At 43.0% G+C, this 18,171-nt stretch overlaps 1 protein-coding gene across 12 annotated transcripts in view; it reads right to left on the reverse strand.

Annotated features, from left to right (window-relative positions):
* Positions 1-18,171, reverse strand: part of ZFAT (zinc finger and AT-hook domain containing) — a 354,552-nt gene that overhangs the window by 24,304 nt on the left and 312,077 nt on the right. For 10 of the 12 annotated variants that reach the window (NR_110323.2, XM_047422062.1, NM_001174157.2 and 7 more), the window contains 2 exons: positions 10,384-10,510; positions 7,528-7,658 (listed from right to left, as the gene is read on the reverse strand). The exons of 1 other annotated variant lie outside the window; for it this stretch is intronic. Coding sequence is in view for 10 of the 11 variants with exons in the window: in XM_047422062.1 (XP_047278018.1) it covers positions 7,528-7,658; positions 10,384-10,510 (258 nt within the window). In the remaining variant the exon portion in view is untranslated. The remainder of the gene's footprint in view (positions 1-7,527; positions 7,659-10,383; positions 10,511-18,171) is intronic. One more of the 12 variants, XM_011517206.2, reaches the window with a different exon arrangement.

Genomic DNA, 18,171 nt, shown 5'->3' on the forward strand with positions numbered 1-18,171 from the left:
TTGAAGCCTCATAGAGTCACTTTCTAGATCCCCCCTCCTCATTATTTCACCACAAGTCTTATAAAATGTTCAACATCTGCCCCCCGATGGGAGGAGGCCAGTCTGAGCATCCCTTCAGGTGGCCCACAGGGCACCAGGCTTCTCTCAAGCCAGAGGCTGCACTTGAGAAGTCCCTTCTGCAGAGCGGCTTCTCCCTACCAGGAGCCCTTGTCCAGATGGGCAGTGAGAAAGGGGTCAGGGGACCACATTACTCAGTGCCTTAAATTAAAACACGACAGATTGGACATGCACTTCCTTGCAAACAGGCAACTGGTGTATATGGTCTCCACTGAAGTAGAGTGCCTTTTCTTGCAAAAAACAATGAACTGCAAATAACAAACAGCAATTCCAACCCTGGCTGGCAACCAACATATGTCTTCCAGCAAGAACTGCTACTTAAGCTCCCTCTCAGGCTTCACGCTGTATGCTGAGCCCAGGGTGGGGGCTCTGCCTGCTCTTCTCCCAACACTGCCAACCATCACGGGGACCCACTTGAAGGCTGAAGGTGGCAAAGGTTGTGTAGAAGCAGTTGGGAGAAGAAGGTGGGGTGATTTGGGCAAAGCTGGAGTTCCTGCTTGGTTTTCTGTTTGTTTCGTTTTGATCAGTGGTTAAAGCATGTCAGAGGAGCACTTGGGATTTTGAACAAGATTAAGGCAGAATAATTCTGTGCTGTGCCCGGCTAAGGGCCTTCATGGGGAAGAGGTGGGTGCCCATGGGTCTGAGGCAGTCCAAATTGCTCCTTCCCACTGAGGCCCCAGCACACAGTGTGGAAGCATCTAGCACATTGCAGGAAAACAACCAACAAAAGAGAGGGGCAACCCCAGGAGGCACTAAAACTGGCAGGCAGTGTGTGTGACACCCCATCCCCACCCCAGGCTCATAAGCCAGGGCAGCCAACTCCTGGGCTGCAGGGGAAATGCCTGATGTGGACAGAGACAAAGGCCTGCCACGTAGAGTGCTGCTAACACTAGTTCCTACTAGACATCTACTCCCATGGGGGCAGTGGCAACAATGGTTTGCTTACTCATGGCCAGGAGGATTGAGTGGAGTGCTGGTGCTCCATGGAGGACTCCTGGGGGTTAGTGTGCCATGCTGGCACAGTCCTCAGCTGTCACTCTCTCAAGGATACACAGGATAGAGCTGATTCCTGAATCTTGAACCAAAATCTCAGCTGTGATAGAAATACGGATCTGCCAATGGATGTGTTTTCTGGAAGCTACTAAATCACCATGAAATCTGTCCACCAAAATTGTCTCTGTGAAACTGAGAATTTCACCCTTGAAGCAAATAACAGTTTTTCACTGACAAAACAGACACTCATACCCTGAAACATATTTGTACATGTGTAATAGTTCATTTTATATGTCAACTTGACTGGGCCATGGGTGCCCAGATATTCGGTCATACATTATTCTAGGTATGGCTGTGATGGTGTTTTTGGATGAGATTAACATTTAAACTGGCAGACTGAATAAAGCAAATGGCCCTCCCTAGTGTGGGTGGGGCCCATCCAATCAGCTGATGGCCTAAATAGAATTAAAAAGGTGACCCTCCCCTTTTGAAAAGGAGGGAATTCTTCCTCCCAACAGCCTTCAAGCCAGGACACTGGTTTTTCCTGCCTTTGATCTCAAGCTGAAACACTGGCCCTTCCTGTGTCCTAAGCCTGCCAGCCTTCAAATTGGAGTCACACCATTGGCTCTCCTGGGACCCCAGCTTGCTGACAGCAGACATTGGGATTTGTCAACCTCCACAGTCACATCAGCCAATTCCTTCTTTTGAACACAAACACACACACACACACACGCACACGCACACGAACACACACACACCCCTATGAGTTCTGTTTCTCTAAGAAACTCTGACAAACACAACGTATTTCTTATCAGGTCTCAGTAAAGCAGGAATGGTGGCCGAGTCACAGAGAAGCAGGCTTGGTAAAGTGCATGCTGCTGGACAGCCTCACTTGGACAAGACTGCATCAGGTAAGCTCTTGTACACAGGGGAGTGTCCTGGCCATTCGTATGTGCACATGGACTGAAAAGTAACTTGTACAATGAACGAATGACCCACACCACTTCACTGGGAGCCCAACTCCCTCCCCCACCTCAGAGGCTGACACCCCACAATGCCCTAGCACCCCCAGTCTGCTGTTTAGGGCAAACCCTCAGCAGTAAAAACAATACAAAATTAACACAAAACTCAGAAAGACCGAAGATTATCATAAAGGCAAACTGTTCAATCATCCTGACCTTCTTAAAAAGAAGATGCTGTGTCATCATAAGGTGTACTTATTACTTAAAACACCCCCAGGGAAAGAAGAAAGGGCACGGTGCAGTAGCTGGCTCGGTGAACCCAGGAACAAGAGGCCAAGACAAATGTCAGTGACAGTCTTAGACAGGCACTGATTGTTCTGCTAAATATCAAGGGGCAGGAATGCTCAGTGCAGGTTCACTATTTGCAAGAACCAAGAAATTGTCATTTGTTAAAAACGCCAACATGACTTCAAGAGGGTAACATAGGTCAGGAAGCCCATGGCCAAAGGACATTATGCCCTAGGACATGCCATAAGGCTATAAACTGCTTGGACTCCAAGTGGGCAGAAGGGCGGAAGGGAGAGACCAGGCTGAGATACTTCCGAGACTTGGAATCCTTGGCCCATGTTACAACCAGGCAAGTCATTACTCTATGCAGGCCCTCTTCCACCACCCCTACCTCTGCCTCCAGTCACCCAGCTGGCGCCAGCCACCAGCTCCTGTACCCACTCCTGCCTGGAGCCCTGCTCCCACCCTACACTCACAAGGCCTCCCTGCTCAGCACCTGCCCCCACCCCAGACCCAGGTACACGGGCCCCTGGTGCTCCCCACAGCACTCCTGGGTCCCTGGGCCACCTCCCTGAAGCATTCATCACTCTCGATCGGAACTGCCTGTTTAAGGCTGCATTTTCCATACCTCTTGACCAGTTCTGATTGTTCTTTTTTCCAGTGTACTTTTTGCCTCTAACGTACTATTATAATTTACTTATTACATGTATATGGATTGGCTATCTACCCCAATTAAAACGTAAGCTTCTCGACCATATCATTCACCTGATATGTTCACTGAAATATCCCAAGTGCTGAGAACAGTGACTGGCTGGTAAAAGCAGCTCAAGGTATATTTGTTGCATGAAAAAATAAGTCATTTCCCTTGTTAGACTATTTGCCTCTTGAGAGCAGGAACAATCTTAATTCTGTAGCCCAGTGTGGTGGGCACAGTAATGCCCGCACCCCTCAACCAAAGCTGTCCATGTCCTCATCTTTGAGGCCTGTGAATATGTTGCCTTATATAGCAAAGAAGAATGTGTAAATGTGATCACATTAAGGAGCTGGTGACAGAGAAGCCATCCCAGGTGGACAGTCCTGGATTATCTGGGTGGGTCCAATGTCATCAGAAGGGCCCTTTAAAAAGGGAGTAGGAAGGCTGGCAATCGCAATTTGCCCCTGGAAACAGAGGTCAGAGTGAGTGGATGTCAGACCTTAGCCTGCCGTTGCTGGCTCTGGGGATGGAGGAAGGGAGCCTCGGGTCAAGGAGTGCAGGTGGCCTCTAGATGCCCAAAAAGGCAAGAAAGGAATCTTTCCCAGAAACACTGTAGCTCTCTCGACACCTTGAGTTTAGCACAGGAAGCACTGCAGACTTCTGACCTCCAGAATTGTAAGACAGTATCAGTTTGTGTTGTTTTAAACCATAAATTTGTGGTAATTTGTGGCAGTGGCAATAGGAAATTAACACAACCAGAGACTGAACACAGAGTGGTTGCTCAGTAAATGCCTGCTAAATGAGTGCCCGTCAACCATACATACAATGTTACTTTGAGTCTAAAATAAAATTTAATCATAAGAACATCCATCAGTGATTTAAGCCATGAGCCACTGGTGATGACTATTGCTGTTATTTTCTTTGGTTTTTCTTTTCCTTTAAATAACTAATTTTGACTCAGAGATGCTCATGATAGCATTTCCTGTGCGGCTAGCTGTCTTCCATTTACCTTCTTAGGCAGTTCTATTTATCAAATACAAATTTCCTCCTCATAAAACCTTAACGCAAGATTTAACAACACTAACAAAAGTAATCACCTTATTTAATGAAAACTGTCAGGTTTAACAAACACACATTTAGTTGCACTCAGGTTCTCATCTGGGCCCTTCTGCCAGGCTGGAGTGGGGCACGCAAGCATGATTCTTTCTGAGCGTTGGGAGATGCTCGGGCCCCATGAATCTATTTTTAATGCCAACACTCAAGAAAAGAGGGAAAGTGACAAGAAGTCGTTGAGGACAGATTTCTGTGTCCAACAAAGAATTTAAATGGTCTCAATTATGGGCAAAATCTTTTCCTTGTCTCTTTAAAGACCAAGAAGCAAACAGTTTTTTCCCAGCTCTCTTCTCTCCAACACTGCCAGCCCCGTACCAGGCCTGCCATTACTTTCATCCCAGAAGCTGAAAACCCCAGAAGACTTGGGATTAATCCCTTTCAGTGATTATTGATGAATTTTGATATATAAGATTCTTTTCAATTAACATTAACAAGTCATGAAAAATTGTAAATAGAGTATATATCTATTTGTTTATGAGAAATAAATTTTGAAATGTTTAACCATCCAGAAGCAACTTATGTACAATGTAGAATTTGTTTTGTTTTTGGTCTTGTGGAAGATGTATATAAAAGAGATCCAAAAAGATCTCAAAAGATGCTATCCCATAGTAATCTGAAACATTGTTCTGCGATATACATCACATACTTTATGATGAGGAATTCTTGCTTTTTTCTCTCCGGCAATACTGATTTGTAGGATACAATTGAAGAATCAAAACCTCCAACATAGTCAATTCTATTTCATAACATTTTTTAAGCAACTACTATGTGTGATGTCTTGGGTTTGAGCAAGAGAAAGCCCCTGACATCAAGGTCCCTCCCACAGGAGGAAAAGCTTTCCTCTTTCCAACTGGTGCAACAGAGTTCACATTTCATTGCTTCAGCACAGTTATTAAGCAGATATAATTTCTTGACTGAAAAAATCCTAAACCAGAGTTTAATTAAAAGAAAAAGGTTGAAACCAATTTTTCTAATAAATACTGCTATATTTCAATTTAAACTATACGACAATGGAATTCAGAGGGCATCCTTTCACCTGGGAGAGCCTGAAACACTTCATTTCCTTTGCTATAGGAGTGGTGCTCAGCGTCTACCCGCCCATCAGTCTGTCCACCCACTCTCCTCTCTGTCATTTATCAACAGCCACCGTGAGCGAGGTGCGGGGCCAGGCAGACAAGATAATGGCCAGGACATACACCTTCTTGGGGAACATTTCCAAATGCAGTTCCCCACGACTGTGTTCAACAGCACCACTCTTTGCTGTGTTTGCAATAAGAAAGAAGATCCTCAGAAGGGCGGCACTGTTTTCTCCTCCCGCAAACACATTTAGCTTGTCGACACTGGTCGTTCTGGATGCTTATCTGCCTCATCCCTTGTGGTGCTGTCAGTCTGATGCCTCAAAGCATATCTAAGCTATAACCCAACCCCTGTGACCTCGTGTATCACTGCATTGCCTGCGAGGCTCAATAAATCATGTCTCCCAGCAGCAGCAAATCAATCTAGTTCTCAGAAACAAGACACAAGTCACAACCAGAAGCACCTTCCTGCACTCTCAAAAGGATTTTGCGTGTATGAAACATTCAAAGTCCTCCTGATACCATCCCAGAGAGACCCTTCCTAAAGTACCAGGTCCAGCTGGGGACTCCACATGTCAAGATGCAAATGAGGAGTTTCAGAAGATATTTATAAGACAATCTGAAGACTGCAATCTAGTAAACACCAAGAAAAGCTAAAAAGGTACTTAGCCTGGAAGTGTATGAATCTTTTCTCAGCCAACGCAGATACCAGGTTGCTACAGACTGAAGCATCCCCCTGCCTACTCTCCAGCTCGACTCCTGAGAGAAATCACACTGTGGAGGAGGGATTTTAGGACATGTGATCCAAACATTCATCTAGATATGCTAAGTCTTGTCCGTAGGTCAAGAAACCCAAGAGGTGAACCTGAATGTACTTACTAATTCCCCCAGAGAACTACTTGGCCTGAATTTCATGCTTTGCATTGTGCCCTGGGCACACTCAGGGGACAGTTGTGGAGACAGCGCTGGGATGTCCCCTCCTGGCTCATGAGGTCACCAGGCACACATCACTCAGGCGTCCTTATGTGAGTGCCTCATTAAGAAATATCTTATTTGTTAGTGCCAAGAAAAGCTAACCCCCTTCCTGAGTTAACTGTTTAACGTCTCCTTTTTGTTTTCTGTTACACAATTCAGTAACAAATTTAGTCAATTTCAGACAACTCTAGTAATACACACCTCTTCCAGGTCTCTCCTCGGATGTCAGAGATCTTCCCCAACAACCCTTTACAAAATCACCCCAACCCACACTCCTGGACCCCACTCCTCTCCCACTTCCCTTGCTTTACTTTTCTCCTGGCACTTGTTCACCATCTGACATCCTTTATGTCATACTGGTTTATTCGAGCTTTATCCTTTTCCCCACTGGAAAATAACCACCATGATGGCAGACACTGGTTCTCTCCTAGATCCCAGCAACTGGAACTCTGCCTGACAACAGTAAGCACTCAATAAATACCAAATGAATCAATACAGGACTGGCTAAATGTCAGAAACTCCATGGTTTGCATTTCTTCTTTCTCTGTGAACTTGAACTTTGATTTCAGATTATATATTTCCCTGGTTTTGATGCATTTCCTATTTTGGTTTTCTGTTTTTTAAAGTATTTGTGTAAGCCAGCTAAAATCTTTTGTAAAATGAAACAGGAGGTAGCAGATAGAGACACAGGTATAAACAGATAAAAAGGATGACCTAATTATCAAACACATTGCATTTTAACAGATGGTGAAGTCTCCACTGAGGGCAGAAAAGGAAATGAGCCAAGCAGATAAAGGATTAATTAAGTGGAGTAACCTTTATTCCAAAACTGATCATCTCTTCCTACCAGAGCAGTATCCTGTGTTGATCTGATCGGGTGGTTACTATTTAGGAAGGCCAGTCCACTGGGAAATCCTCCTGGCTTCTCCGGCTACCCCCATGCATCCTACTAGCTCAATTTACTAATGGCGCCTTAGGCACTGAGAGCTGTTTTCATCAGAGATGTGTCTCAATGGTCCACATCATGCTCATTTTCACTCTGGGACTCTTTGAAAGAAAATGAATGGAGAGTTTCCAGAATTTTTTTTTTTAATATACTATATCTCTCCCCCAAACACCTCCCACATATAGAGCTATTGAAGAAGCACTCCCATGAGATCAGAGGTAGAATAAGAAAAGGTATGAGACTAGACCAATTTCATTCCAAGTTCTACCTCAGGTAAGTTAAAGACTTAGAAACACAGGGAGAAGGAGAGAACCTGACTGTGAGACACACAGAGATGAATAGTTACAGAAGGAGGGTCCCTACCTGCTTAACCACAGTCACCGTCCCTGGTGCCATGGCAACCACCGAGGCAAGGGCAGTGGCGTCATGGGTCTCGGCGCCCAGCTCAATGATCTGCTGCAGGATGTTCACGGCCGTGGGGTCCAGTCGGTCGCCTTAAGAGGAAGAAGCAAAGAGGACACCATTCAGGCCACTGGTGCTGAAGGACATGGAATGCAAAACCAGCCTGTCTGTTCTCTCGGGTGACGCCTTCTCCAGAGGATGCATGGGCTCTCCGTAATCGCTCAGTTTGACAACAGAAATAATCTGTATAGTGCTTTATAGCTTACAAAGCATTTTCTATAAGAACATCTCAAAACCCCAAGCAACCCTGTGAGGATGGGACATTGAGACGTTATTTGCATTTTGTAGAAGCCTCATTTGGGCCACTGAGTCAGTTACACCACAAAGCCAGAACTTGAACCCACGTGCTCTGAGTCCTAACATGCGGACATGTGGCTGCCCTCGAAGCTGAACTCCTGGGAGCACCCAGCAAGCCCGTTCAGCCGCAGACTCAATGAAAGTGTGTGCCAAGAAATTCCACAAGTTATGGGCAAAACATCCAAAGATGTATCAATTATTCAACGAGTAGGCTTTGGAACTCCAAACCAATTGAAGCTGGGGGTTCTATTTTAACCATCTCTAAAGACGGGATTCTGCATCATCAGGCAGCTATTTAGTATCCCCGCCTGCTCCCACCATCTGCCAGGCCATCTGCAACCGTCCTGAGCACACCCTGACCCTGATCACTAATTTACTAAAAGAGAAATGACTGCTTGATCTCCACCTCAGCATGATATTATGCAGTCTCTGCCAACATTTTCATCCTCATGGGCAGCTTTCTGTGGGCCGTGTTCCAATGCGAGTCAATCAATAAGAGATCAGAGAAGGGGAACTCAACGTGTCTCATGCAGAAGGTAGGACAAGCCAGTGGCTGAGGCAGTGGCGGACTTATATTCACAATGCATCGCCGGCACCCCCAAACACATGCCCCTTAAGGGAAATGGTGCAAATGTACCTTGCAGCCAACCACTCCGAACATGCAAGGACGAAAACATTTACCTGTGCAACTTACTGAGGCGAGGTTCTAATTCCGCATCCATGGACTCCCTTAATGACCCTTTATCAAGCCCTAGCATTATTGCTCCTGCTAAGAATAAAGACAAAGCCCTACCCCTTCCCCCTCACCCCCCGACTCCTCCCAGGGCTCACAACCTCCTAAGCCAGACTGTAAGCAAATCCTTACAGCACCTGGCAGCTCCCATGTCAGGAGTGCAATTAGGAAACAGTGCAGAAAAGGGACGGGGTTCTCAGGAGGTGACCTGCAGTCTGAGTACTGAAGATGAGGATGAGTTTGGCAGAAAAAGGCTGTGAGGGAGAAGAAACCAGGCCATACCCCAGGGAGCACTGGAGCGTGTGTCCCTTCTGAGAGCTGCAAATCTGGCAGAGGGAAGCACAGCCCAGGAATGGGGTGGCAAGAGACAGTGACAAGGCCAGGCAGGAGCCAGAGAAGCTGAGCCTGGCCTTTTCAGCTGCAAAGTTAAGAGCTAGGAAGAGACATCGGAGGGCCTTAGAAGGAGTGAGAGAGTGAGTGAGTCTGAGAGTGAGAGTGTGTGTGGGGGGTGTGTGTGTGCTCATAGGGGATGAAGACAGACAGGCTGCATCTTGTAGGCCATGAGCAATCACTGATGTCACTGGACATCATGGAAGGAAACTCAAGTTCTGACAGAACCTCAGTGCTGAGAGCCACATTTAACAGCTGGGCCTCGACTCTCCCGTCTGCAGAAGTGGAGGCACTGCCTCCTGAATTCCCTGCAGCTCAGCAGGCAGTGAACACAGCCCTGTCCATTAATCTTCCCTAAACCAACTGGCCCACAGGAGTTTTCTGTGCAGCTTTCTTACAATCTGGAGTTTGGGGTTTTAGGAACTGGGTAAAAATGGTGTCTTTCTAACTCCTATTTCCTATCACCGTTTCATTTCACCTAATGCTTCCCTTTTAACCCAACCTGCTTGACCTCTGCCCTCCAGATATGTACAGGGCTGTGGTATGAAACATTAACTTGTGTTCTGTTCATCTTTTAAAAAGAGCATCAAGAAAAACTGTTTTCTAAGCATAATGCCCCAACTGCCACTAGGCTGGTACAGTGGCTTGTTTTTTTTAGAACTGATTTAACATTTGAAAATCATGACATTTGATGTAAAAATCCTGACTGGGCCTTTTGGGAAGGACTTGGAGAATGAGCGATCCTGGTCTTTCAGGTCTGCAAAGTGACCCCCTGCACGCCAGAGTCTCTGCTACTCTCTACCACCCACTGAGCCCACACCACCTCCTGTCACTGCCTGCCTGGCCCCTGTAGGCCCTGGAGGAGATGTCCCTGAGGAAGCATGGAATGGGATGATGCCGTGACAAGAAGTTAGGAGACCCAGATTCCAGGATGAGCTCCAACACCCTAAAGTGGGTGACCCTCAGTCAACCACTAACAACCATTAACCATTAGCCAACCATTAACAATGAAAAGCAACCTTCTGCATCTGTGAAGTGAGAATAGTCAGATCTCCTCCCCTCACAAGGCGGTTCAGAGAATTAAATGTGGTAAGAGATGTGAGGGACTCTTGCGGCCCTGTTCGAAGGCTTTCCCTCTGCTTTGGCTCTGTTCTAGAGCATTTCTGGAGGCAGAGATCTCTGGGGGCTGGCAATGGGGCTGCTTCTGCAGTCTGAACGCTGGGTCAGGGATTCGGAAGTAGATCACCTGATGGACATCATTCATCTGCAAACGCATTCATTCAGCATGTCTAGGAAAGACAGTTCTGAGATGGCAAAGGAAGACCAGGCGTCCTCACCACTCTCAGAGGTGTATCTCAGGTCCTGGAGCGCGGCCACCGCTGCCTGTGTCCCTTGAACGTCTTCTTCGGCCTCTGTGATGTGGAGATACTGGGTGGAGGGCTCCTCAGGAGCTTCTGTTGCTGTCTAAATAAAAACATAGTACCTAAGTCATCTCCTAAAAGATTGACTGTTGCCCAGAAGTTCCAAGATAACATACTAAGATAGAACAAACGCATATAAGAAAGCAATACATTGCAACATCTCATTTACCTGGCACCCCTGAGAAACCAGTTGCTCCCATACACTTCTCAAAGAGAAAATTTCTCTGTGAGGATCAAGACCTTTAAAAACTAGCTTTGGTAAAAAGCCCCTGCTGTACATTTTTGTGGTGGGAAACAGAGTATGTATGCTGTTCACAATTAGAGATTTGACCAGTTCAGATATTCTTGCATACACTTAGATTCTAACGGCTCCTCTGTTTCCTCCCACTGCTACCAACATCACTTCTAATCTGTGCCTTACCCTGGGGACTGGGTGCCATGTGGCCAACAGAGGAAGGGGCACAGCCATGGGGCAGCTGACGGTGGAAGGGGTAGGGTGGGTGATTACACAGAGGAAGGGGCACAGCCACAGGGCAGCTGATGGTGGAAGGGAGAGGACCTGTGATTACACAGCACGTGGAGAGCACAGGTCCCAGGTCCCAGCAGAGTAAGAGTTCAGAAAATCTTAGCTATTTGTGCTTTTTTTTTTTTTTTTTTGAGACAGAGTCTCGCTCTGTCACCCAGGCTGGAGCGCGGTGGCGCGATCTCAGCTCACTGCAATCTCTGCCCGCCAGGTTCAAGCGATTCTCCTGCCTCAGCCTCCCGAGTGCCTGGGATTACAGGCACGCACCACCACACCTAGCTAATTTTTGTATTTTTAGTATTTTTAGTTTCACCATGTTGGCCAGGATGGTCTCGATCTCCTGAGCCTCCCAAAGTGTTGGGATTACAGGTGTGAGCCACCACGCTCGGCTGTGCCATTCTTATTCGAACATGAAAGTGTAAGAAATAAAACTGACTACAAGAAATATATTTGCACAAAATCAGGACTTGCGAGGGTAGGAGGAGTTAAAGTGGCATTCACAGGTACCTCGTGCCTCAAAGAGAGAAGAGGTGGAACAGAATTTTTACAGAACTAGATGTTAATAATTATCTCTTTCTGGAAGGGGCAGAGAGTGCAAGCAAAACTGTAAGGCTGGATGCATGAATGTCACCAATCAAGAAGAACAAAAAGAAGGACTTCAGACAAAATCTACAGGTGCCAAGTTATGCTCTATAAGCATATATCAGTAAATGACATAGAGGTTCAGAATAGCATATAATATTCCTTCACAGCCAACTGGCCAAGTCCATTTAGGTGTTTCCATCCTGACATATAGTAGTCACCCAAAAAATATTCAATGAATGCATAAATGAACAAAAAGAAGAACATTTTGTTCTCAGTACCATGAGGCAACAGATTAGCCGACAGTAGATCCAGGCAATGCCTGAGCCCGTGAAAGGACAGGATGCAACCTGAAAGGTTCCTCCTCATTCTGGGGAAAGCATGTCATAGTTGCTGTCAGGAAGGCTGGTACTCGTTGCAAGGCATTCCTGGGAGCCAGGTGACACACACATTGCTGGAAGAGGTGGCTTGTTACTCCACTGGTGACCACTTCATGGCAGCTTCCTGGCTGTTCACCATCTCATGGAGATGAGTATGGAGTCAACTACCCAGTCTTATGTCAACTATTTCTGTTGGGTTCACGGCTCTGCATAAAGTGCTAGCATCAGCTGGAAGCGAGGCTTTACTGCATGCTTTTATAAAAGCACCGACTGACAAGATAGATTGAGTTTTACATCAGTAATTGACACTCGAGTGTCTATTTTGTTAATGAAGAGTAAATTCTTCCAGTATGTACTAATACTTGAAACACTAGGTGACTAATTGTTTTTGCATAGATGAAGATGTAAAAGTGATCATCATCAACATCCGCAATAATCATAGCAGCTGCCATTTTTGAGGGCCTCCAGGGGCTCATTCAGGCCTCAGCATTTTACAAATGGTTTCTCTCAGTGCTTCTGAGCTCTCAGGGATTATCAGCCTACTGTACAGAGCAGAACACTGAGCCATGAGGGTTAAAAAATGGCTCAAGGGCAAGCAGTTTATAGGTGACAGAGGATTCAAAGTTAAGTCTGTCAGACTCCAAAACTCTTACTTTTTAAAAGAATGTTTATAAAAAAATTTTCAATACACAAGAGCAGAGAGACGGGTCTAATAAACCTCCATGTGTCCATTAACCAACTTCAGCAATTATCAATCATGGCAAGTCTTTCCTTTTTTAATTATACTCTAAGTTCTGGGGTACATGTGCAGAACATGCAGGTTTGTTACATAAGTATACACGTGCCATGGTGGTTTGCTGCACCCATCAACTCGTCATCTACATTAGGTATTTCTCCTAATGCTATCCCTCCCCTAGCCCTCCACCCCCAACAGGCCCTGGTGTGTGACGTTCCCCTCCCTGTGTCCATGTGTTCTCATTGTTCAACTCCCATTTATGAGTGAGAACATGTAGTGTTTGGTTTTCTGTTCCTGTGTTAGTTTGCTGAGAATGATGGTTTTCAGCTTCATCCATGTGCCTGCAAAGGACATGAACTCATCTTTTTTATGGCTGCATAGTATTCCATGGTGTATGTGTACTGAATTTTCTTTATGCAGTCTATCATTGATGGGCATTTGGGTTGGTTCCAAGTCTTTGCTATTGTGAATAGTGCTGCAATAAACATACGTGTGTGCATGTGTCCTTATAGTAGAATGATTTATAATCCTTTGGGTATATGCCCAGTAATGGGATTGCTGGGTCAAATGGTATTTCTGGTTCTAGATCCTTGAGGAATCACCACACCGTCTTCCACGACGGGCAAACTAATTTACATTCCCACCAACAGTGTAAAAGCATTCCTATTTCTCCACATCCTCTCCACCATCTGTTGTTTCCTGACTTTTTAATGATCACCATTCTAACTGGCGTGAGATGGTATCTCATTGTGGTTTTGATTTGCATTTCTCTGATGGCCAGTGATGATGAGCTTTTTTTCATATGTTTGTTGGCTGCATAAATGTCTTCTTTTGAGAAGTATCTGTTCATATTCTTTGCCCACTTTTTGATGGGGTTGTTTTTTTCTTGTAAATTTGTTTAAGTTCCTTGTAGATTCTGGATATTAGCCCTTTGTCAGATGGATAGATTGCAAAAATTTTCTCCCATTCTGTAGGTTGAATCATGGCCAGACTTTCTTGGACTATGTTTCCATGTACTCCATGCCCTGCCCCAGGATTATTCTGAAGCAAATCCTGAAATCATTATTTGCCCCATAAATATTTCATACTGTCTCTCTAAAAAATAAAACTCATCCAAAAAAGAACTACAATGCTCCTGTCACACTCAAAAACTTTACAATAAATCCTTAACATCATCAATGGTCTAGACAATGTTTAAATTTCCCCAATTACCTCACTTTTTAGGTTTGTTCAAATCAAATCTAAATGAGGTTCACACATTAGAACTGATTAATATGTCTCATAAGACTTAAAATCCATATGCTCTCCCTCCATTTCTGGCTTTTCTCCCCTTGTAGTTTATTTGTTGAAGACAGCAGGGTGTTTGCCTTAGAGAGCTGTCAGCAATCTAAGTTTCGCTGATTGCATCACCATGGAATTGACCAATGTTCCTCCATCCATGGTGTTTTCTGTAAATTGGTCACTGGATACAAATACAAAAGCTTAATTAGATTCAGATTCCTTTTTGCAAAGAATGCTTCATGGGTTATATTGGGCAGTTCTTTCAGGAGACACGCTTTGGATGGTGGTCTCTTTTATGTAATGTTAGCAGTAACTGATGATCATTGCTAAACCCATGACATCATTAGAAGGTTGCAACATGGTAATATTCTAATTTTTCATGTGTTAGTTGAAATATTTCAAAAGAAAAAACTTCCCCTCATCGAATGTTTGGTTATGTTTACATAGGGTTTTGTTTTGTTCTGTTTTGTTTTGTTTTTAAAGGTAGAATAGGGCTGGGTATGGTGGCTCACACTTGTATTCCCAGCACTTCGGGAAGCCAGGGTGGGAAGATTGCTTGAGGCCAGGAGTTTGAGACCAGCCTAGGCAACAAAGAGAAATCCTGTCTCTATTTTTAAAAAATTTCAAAAAATTATAGTGCTTGCCTATAATCCTATCTACTTGGAAGATAGTAGATAGGACTATCTACTGTCTCCTGAGGTAAGAGAATTGCTTGAGCCCAGGAGTTCCAGGTTGCAGTGAGCTATGAAGGGAGGCTCCATGGCATGCCGGCCTGGGTAGCCAGACCCTATCTCTCAAAAAAAACTAAAAAATAAAGGTAGAACAATGGCTTGATTCTTGGTCTTAATTTACCAATTTTCAAAATAAAGAGTTGATTCTCTAACATTCTACAAAGGTGACTGAATTGTTTTTTCCAAATATCATTATAAACTTACAGAATTAAACATATTTTATGTGTTTCGCTGTCATTATTAAACACTAGTAACAGCCTCAGAATCACAATATTGTCCTTACTACCAACAATACTTGATAACTGCAGTTTTTGCAGTTTGTTTTGCCCTTAGGTTACATCCCAATCAAATAACTGTTTTGAAGTCTCTTGAAATTGTTCCTCTCCACGTAGTCACCAATTTGATATACAGTTAGAATAATTTATTTCATTTTACTCACAATGTTTAAGACTTGCTTTTTAAGTTTAATTTTGTTATTATTATATAAAATACTTTTACAATATTTTATATATAATCAGAGTCAAATCTACACAGCAGGGTATTTTGAGAAATTTAGCTTCTCCCCATCCCTTCCATCTTGCTCTCTGTCTCCTTTCCCTACATATAATGACCCCATTTCTTATCTTTTGTAACTGCTTTACTTTGAAAATAATTTTAGACTTACACAAGACTTCCAAAGATGTAAAGTGCTGCAACAGAGAGTTCCTGGAGACCCTTTACCCAGCCTCCCCTAATCTTAACATCTTTCGTAATCATGGCGCAATGATCAAAACAAGAAATTAACATTTGGATACTATTACTAATTAAACAATAGGCTTTCTCCAGATTCCTCCGGTTTTCTCATTAATGTTCTTTCTCTGTTTCAGGATCCAATTCTGCATCCCACAGCACATTTAGCCATCATGCCTCCGTTGTCTCCTCCTGGCTGTGAAAGTTCCTCAGACTTTCCATATCTTTCATGACCTTGACGCTTTTGAGGAGTACAGATGAGGTATTTGACCACACCCATCATTTGGATTTGTCCAATGGTTTCTGATAATTAGGCTGAGGTTGAAGATTTCAGTTAAGAATACCATGAGATGAAGTGTCTTCTCATCTGATCACATGGTATCAGGTCACACATGATGTCAGCATGCTTCATTACTGATGATGCCAACCTCTACTGCTTGGTGAAGGTGGTACCTCCACCATAAAGTTCCTATTTTTGCCTTCTGTAATTAACAAATATTTGGAAGGAGATATTCAGAGTTTATGTGAATATCTCATTTCTCCTTAAACTTTTGCCTACTAACTTTAGCACTCATTAACGGATCTCATCTGCTATGATTGTTCCTGTGGTATTCTAATAGTAACTTTCTATTTCCCTCATTCCTTCTACATTTATTAATCATTATTTTTTGGAGGAAATGCATAGTTCCTTCTCCCACATTTATTTATTCAATCATTTATTTATGTCAGTATGGACACAGTGTCCCAGTGAAACTTTGGGATGGTTTCCTAACAGTTGGATTATTGAATTAATGGATAAAGAAATGCAAATGTAATTTTGTTACATATTGCTATTCTCTTCATAAGGCTGGGCCATTTTACATTCCCACCAGCAACGTATGAGAGCAGATTTCCCCACAGCTTTTCCAGCAGAGATAATGTCAAACTTTTGGATCTCTGTCAAGCTAGTAGGTGAGAAATTCCATCCAGGGCTAATTTTAATGAAAATTTCTTTCCTTACATGTGAGGCTGATCATGTTTTCAGATATTCGATGTTATTTACATTTTCTTTTCCCTGAACCTTTCTTATCTCTTGTCCATTTTTCTAAAGGGTTGATCTTTCTCATCACTATTTTTATAGGCCTTTTATAAAGATATTAATTTTTTCTATATAAAAAAATATTTTTATCATTTATCTTTTTACTTATTTATGAGCTCTCAGTTTATAGATGAATTCAATTATGCTTTCTTCTAGTATTTGTAAAATATTACTGTTTCTATATTTAAATATCTGATCCTTTTGAAATTTTTCTCATATAACTTTATATGTTATAGTAAACAGATTCAATTTTATCTTTTTTCAGATAGCTATTTAGCTATCCTGTGTCACTTATCAAAAAGCCCACCTTTCTCCTACCAACTTGAGACACCATCTTTATCATATACTAAATTTCCATATGTCATTGGGTCTATTCTAAATTTTCTGTTCGATTCCATTAAACCATCTGTTCATGCACACTTAGAGAGATTTCATAATATGTTTTAATATCTGGTAGGATTCTCCTCTTATGGTTGTTATTCCCAAGGGTTTCCTAGTTAATTGTACTTACTCTTCCAAATGAACTTTAGAAATCAACTTGATTAGCTCCAGAAAAAATCTAATGGTATTTAGATTACATGTAATATGTAATAGATCATATTACCTTGATAAATTATTGTATAAATTACTTTCAGGGGAATTAACATCTTTATGATATTGAGTATTCCCATTAATTTCCTCAACTCTAGGTTTATGTCTCTTTCAGAAGTGTTTTATAGTCTCCCATATTTACATTTTGGGCATTTTTTATAAGGTTTATGCCTAGATTTATCTTGGTTTTGTTTCCTGTATCAAATGGGGGTTTTGTTTCCATTGTAACTGATTTTATGTATGTATATATGTGTGCATATATTAGCATATACATATTCTTATATTTACACATATGTGTATACACATTCATATGTGCAGGTGTACATGTATCTACAACTAACTGTTGTATGTTGATATTTTAATCTGCTGCTTTTTGTTTGTATTAGCTTTTCATTCATTCTTTTGGATTTTCTGAAAATATCATCCTATTATATGTATAGAGAGATACTTTTTATTTCTTTCCTTCCAGTTCTAGGTCTCCATCTGCTTTGTCTGGTCTAGCCACACTCACTGATGCCTCCACATGCTGTTAAAGAACAGCAGAGCCACCGGGCACTCTTGTCTGCTTCTGACTTCTGTGGAAACACTCTAGTGTTTCCCAGTGAAGTAAGATGCTGGTGTTTGGATGACACACATTTTTTTTTTTATCTTAAGGATGTATCCATCAAATTCTATTTACTCTTTTTCATCAGTGAACACTGAATTTTGTCAAATGTCTTTTCTGCATCTATGAAGGTGACTGTTTCATATTATAATGGATGTTAACATGTTACCTTTCCAAGAGACCACTTGTGCCTTGCATTCCAGAATAATCCCCACAATGTCATGATGTATTATTTTTTTCATATGTTGTGGATTCTGTTTAAAAAGCCTTCTCCCAACCACTGGATGCTCTGTAAAGTCCTTAGATAAAGTGAGGGTGATTTTTACCCCCAGGAAACACTGAACATTGGTAATGTCTGGAGACATTTTTGGGTATCTCAACAGGGGATGGGGTTGGGGGGATGATGCTACTAGTAACTTAGTGGGAAGAGGCCAGAAATGCAGCTAAACAGCCTGTAGGGCACAGGACA

The sequence above is a fragment of the Homo sapiens genome, chromosome 8, assembly GCF_000001405.40.
Source record: "Homo sapiens chromosome 8, GRCh38.p14 Primary Assembly".
Classification (NCBI taxonomy): Eukaryota; Metazoa; Chordata; class Mammalia; order Primates; family Hominidae; genus Homo; species Homo sapiens.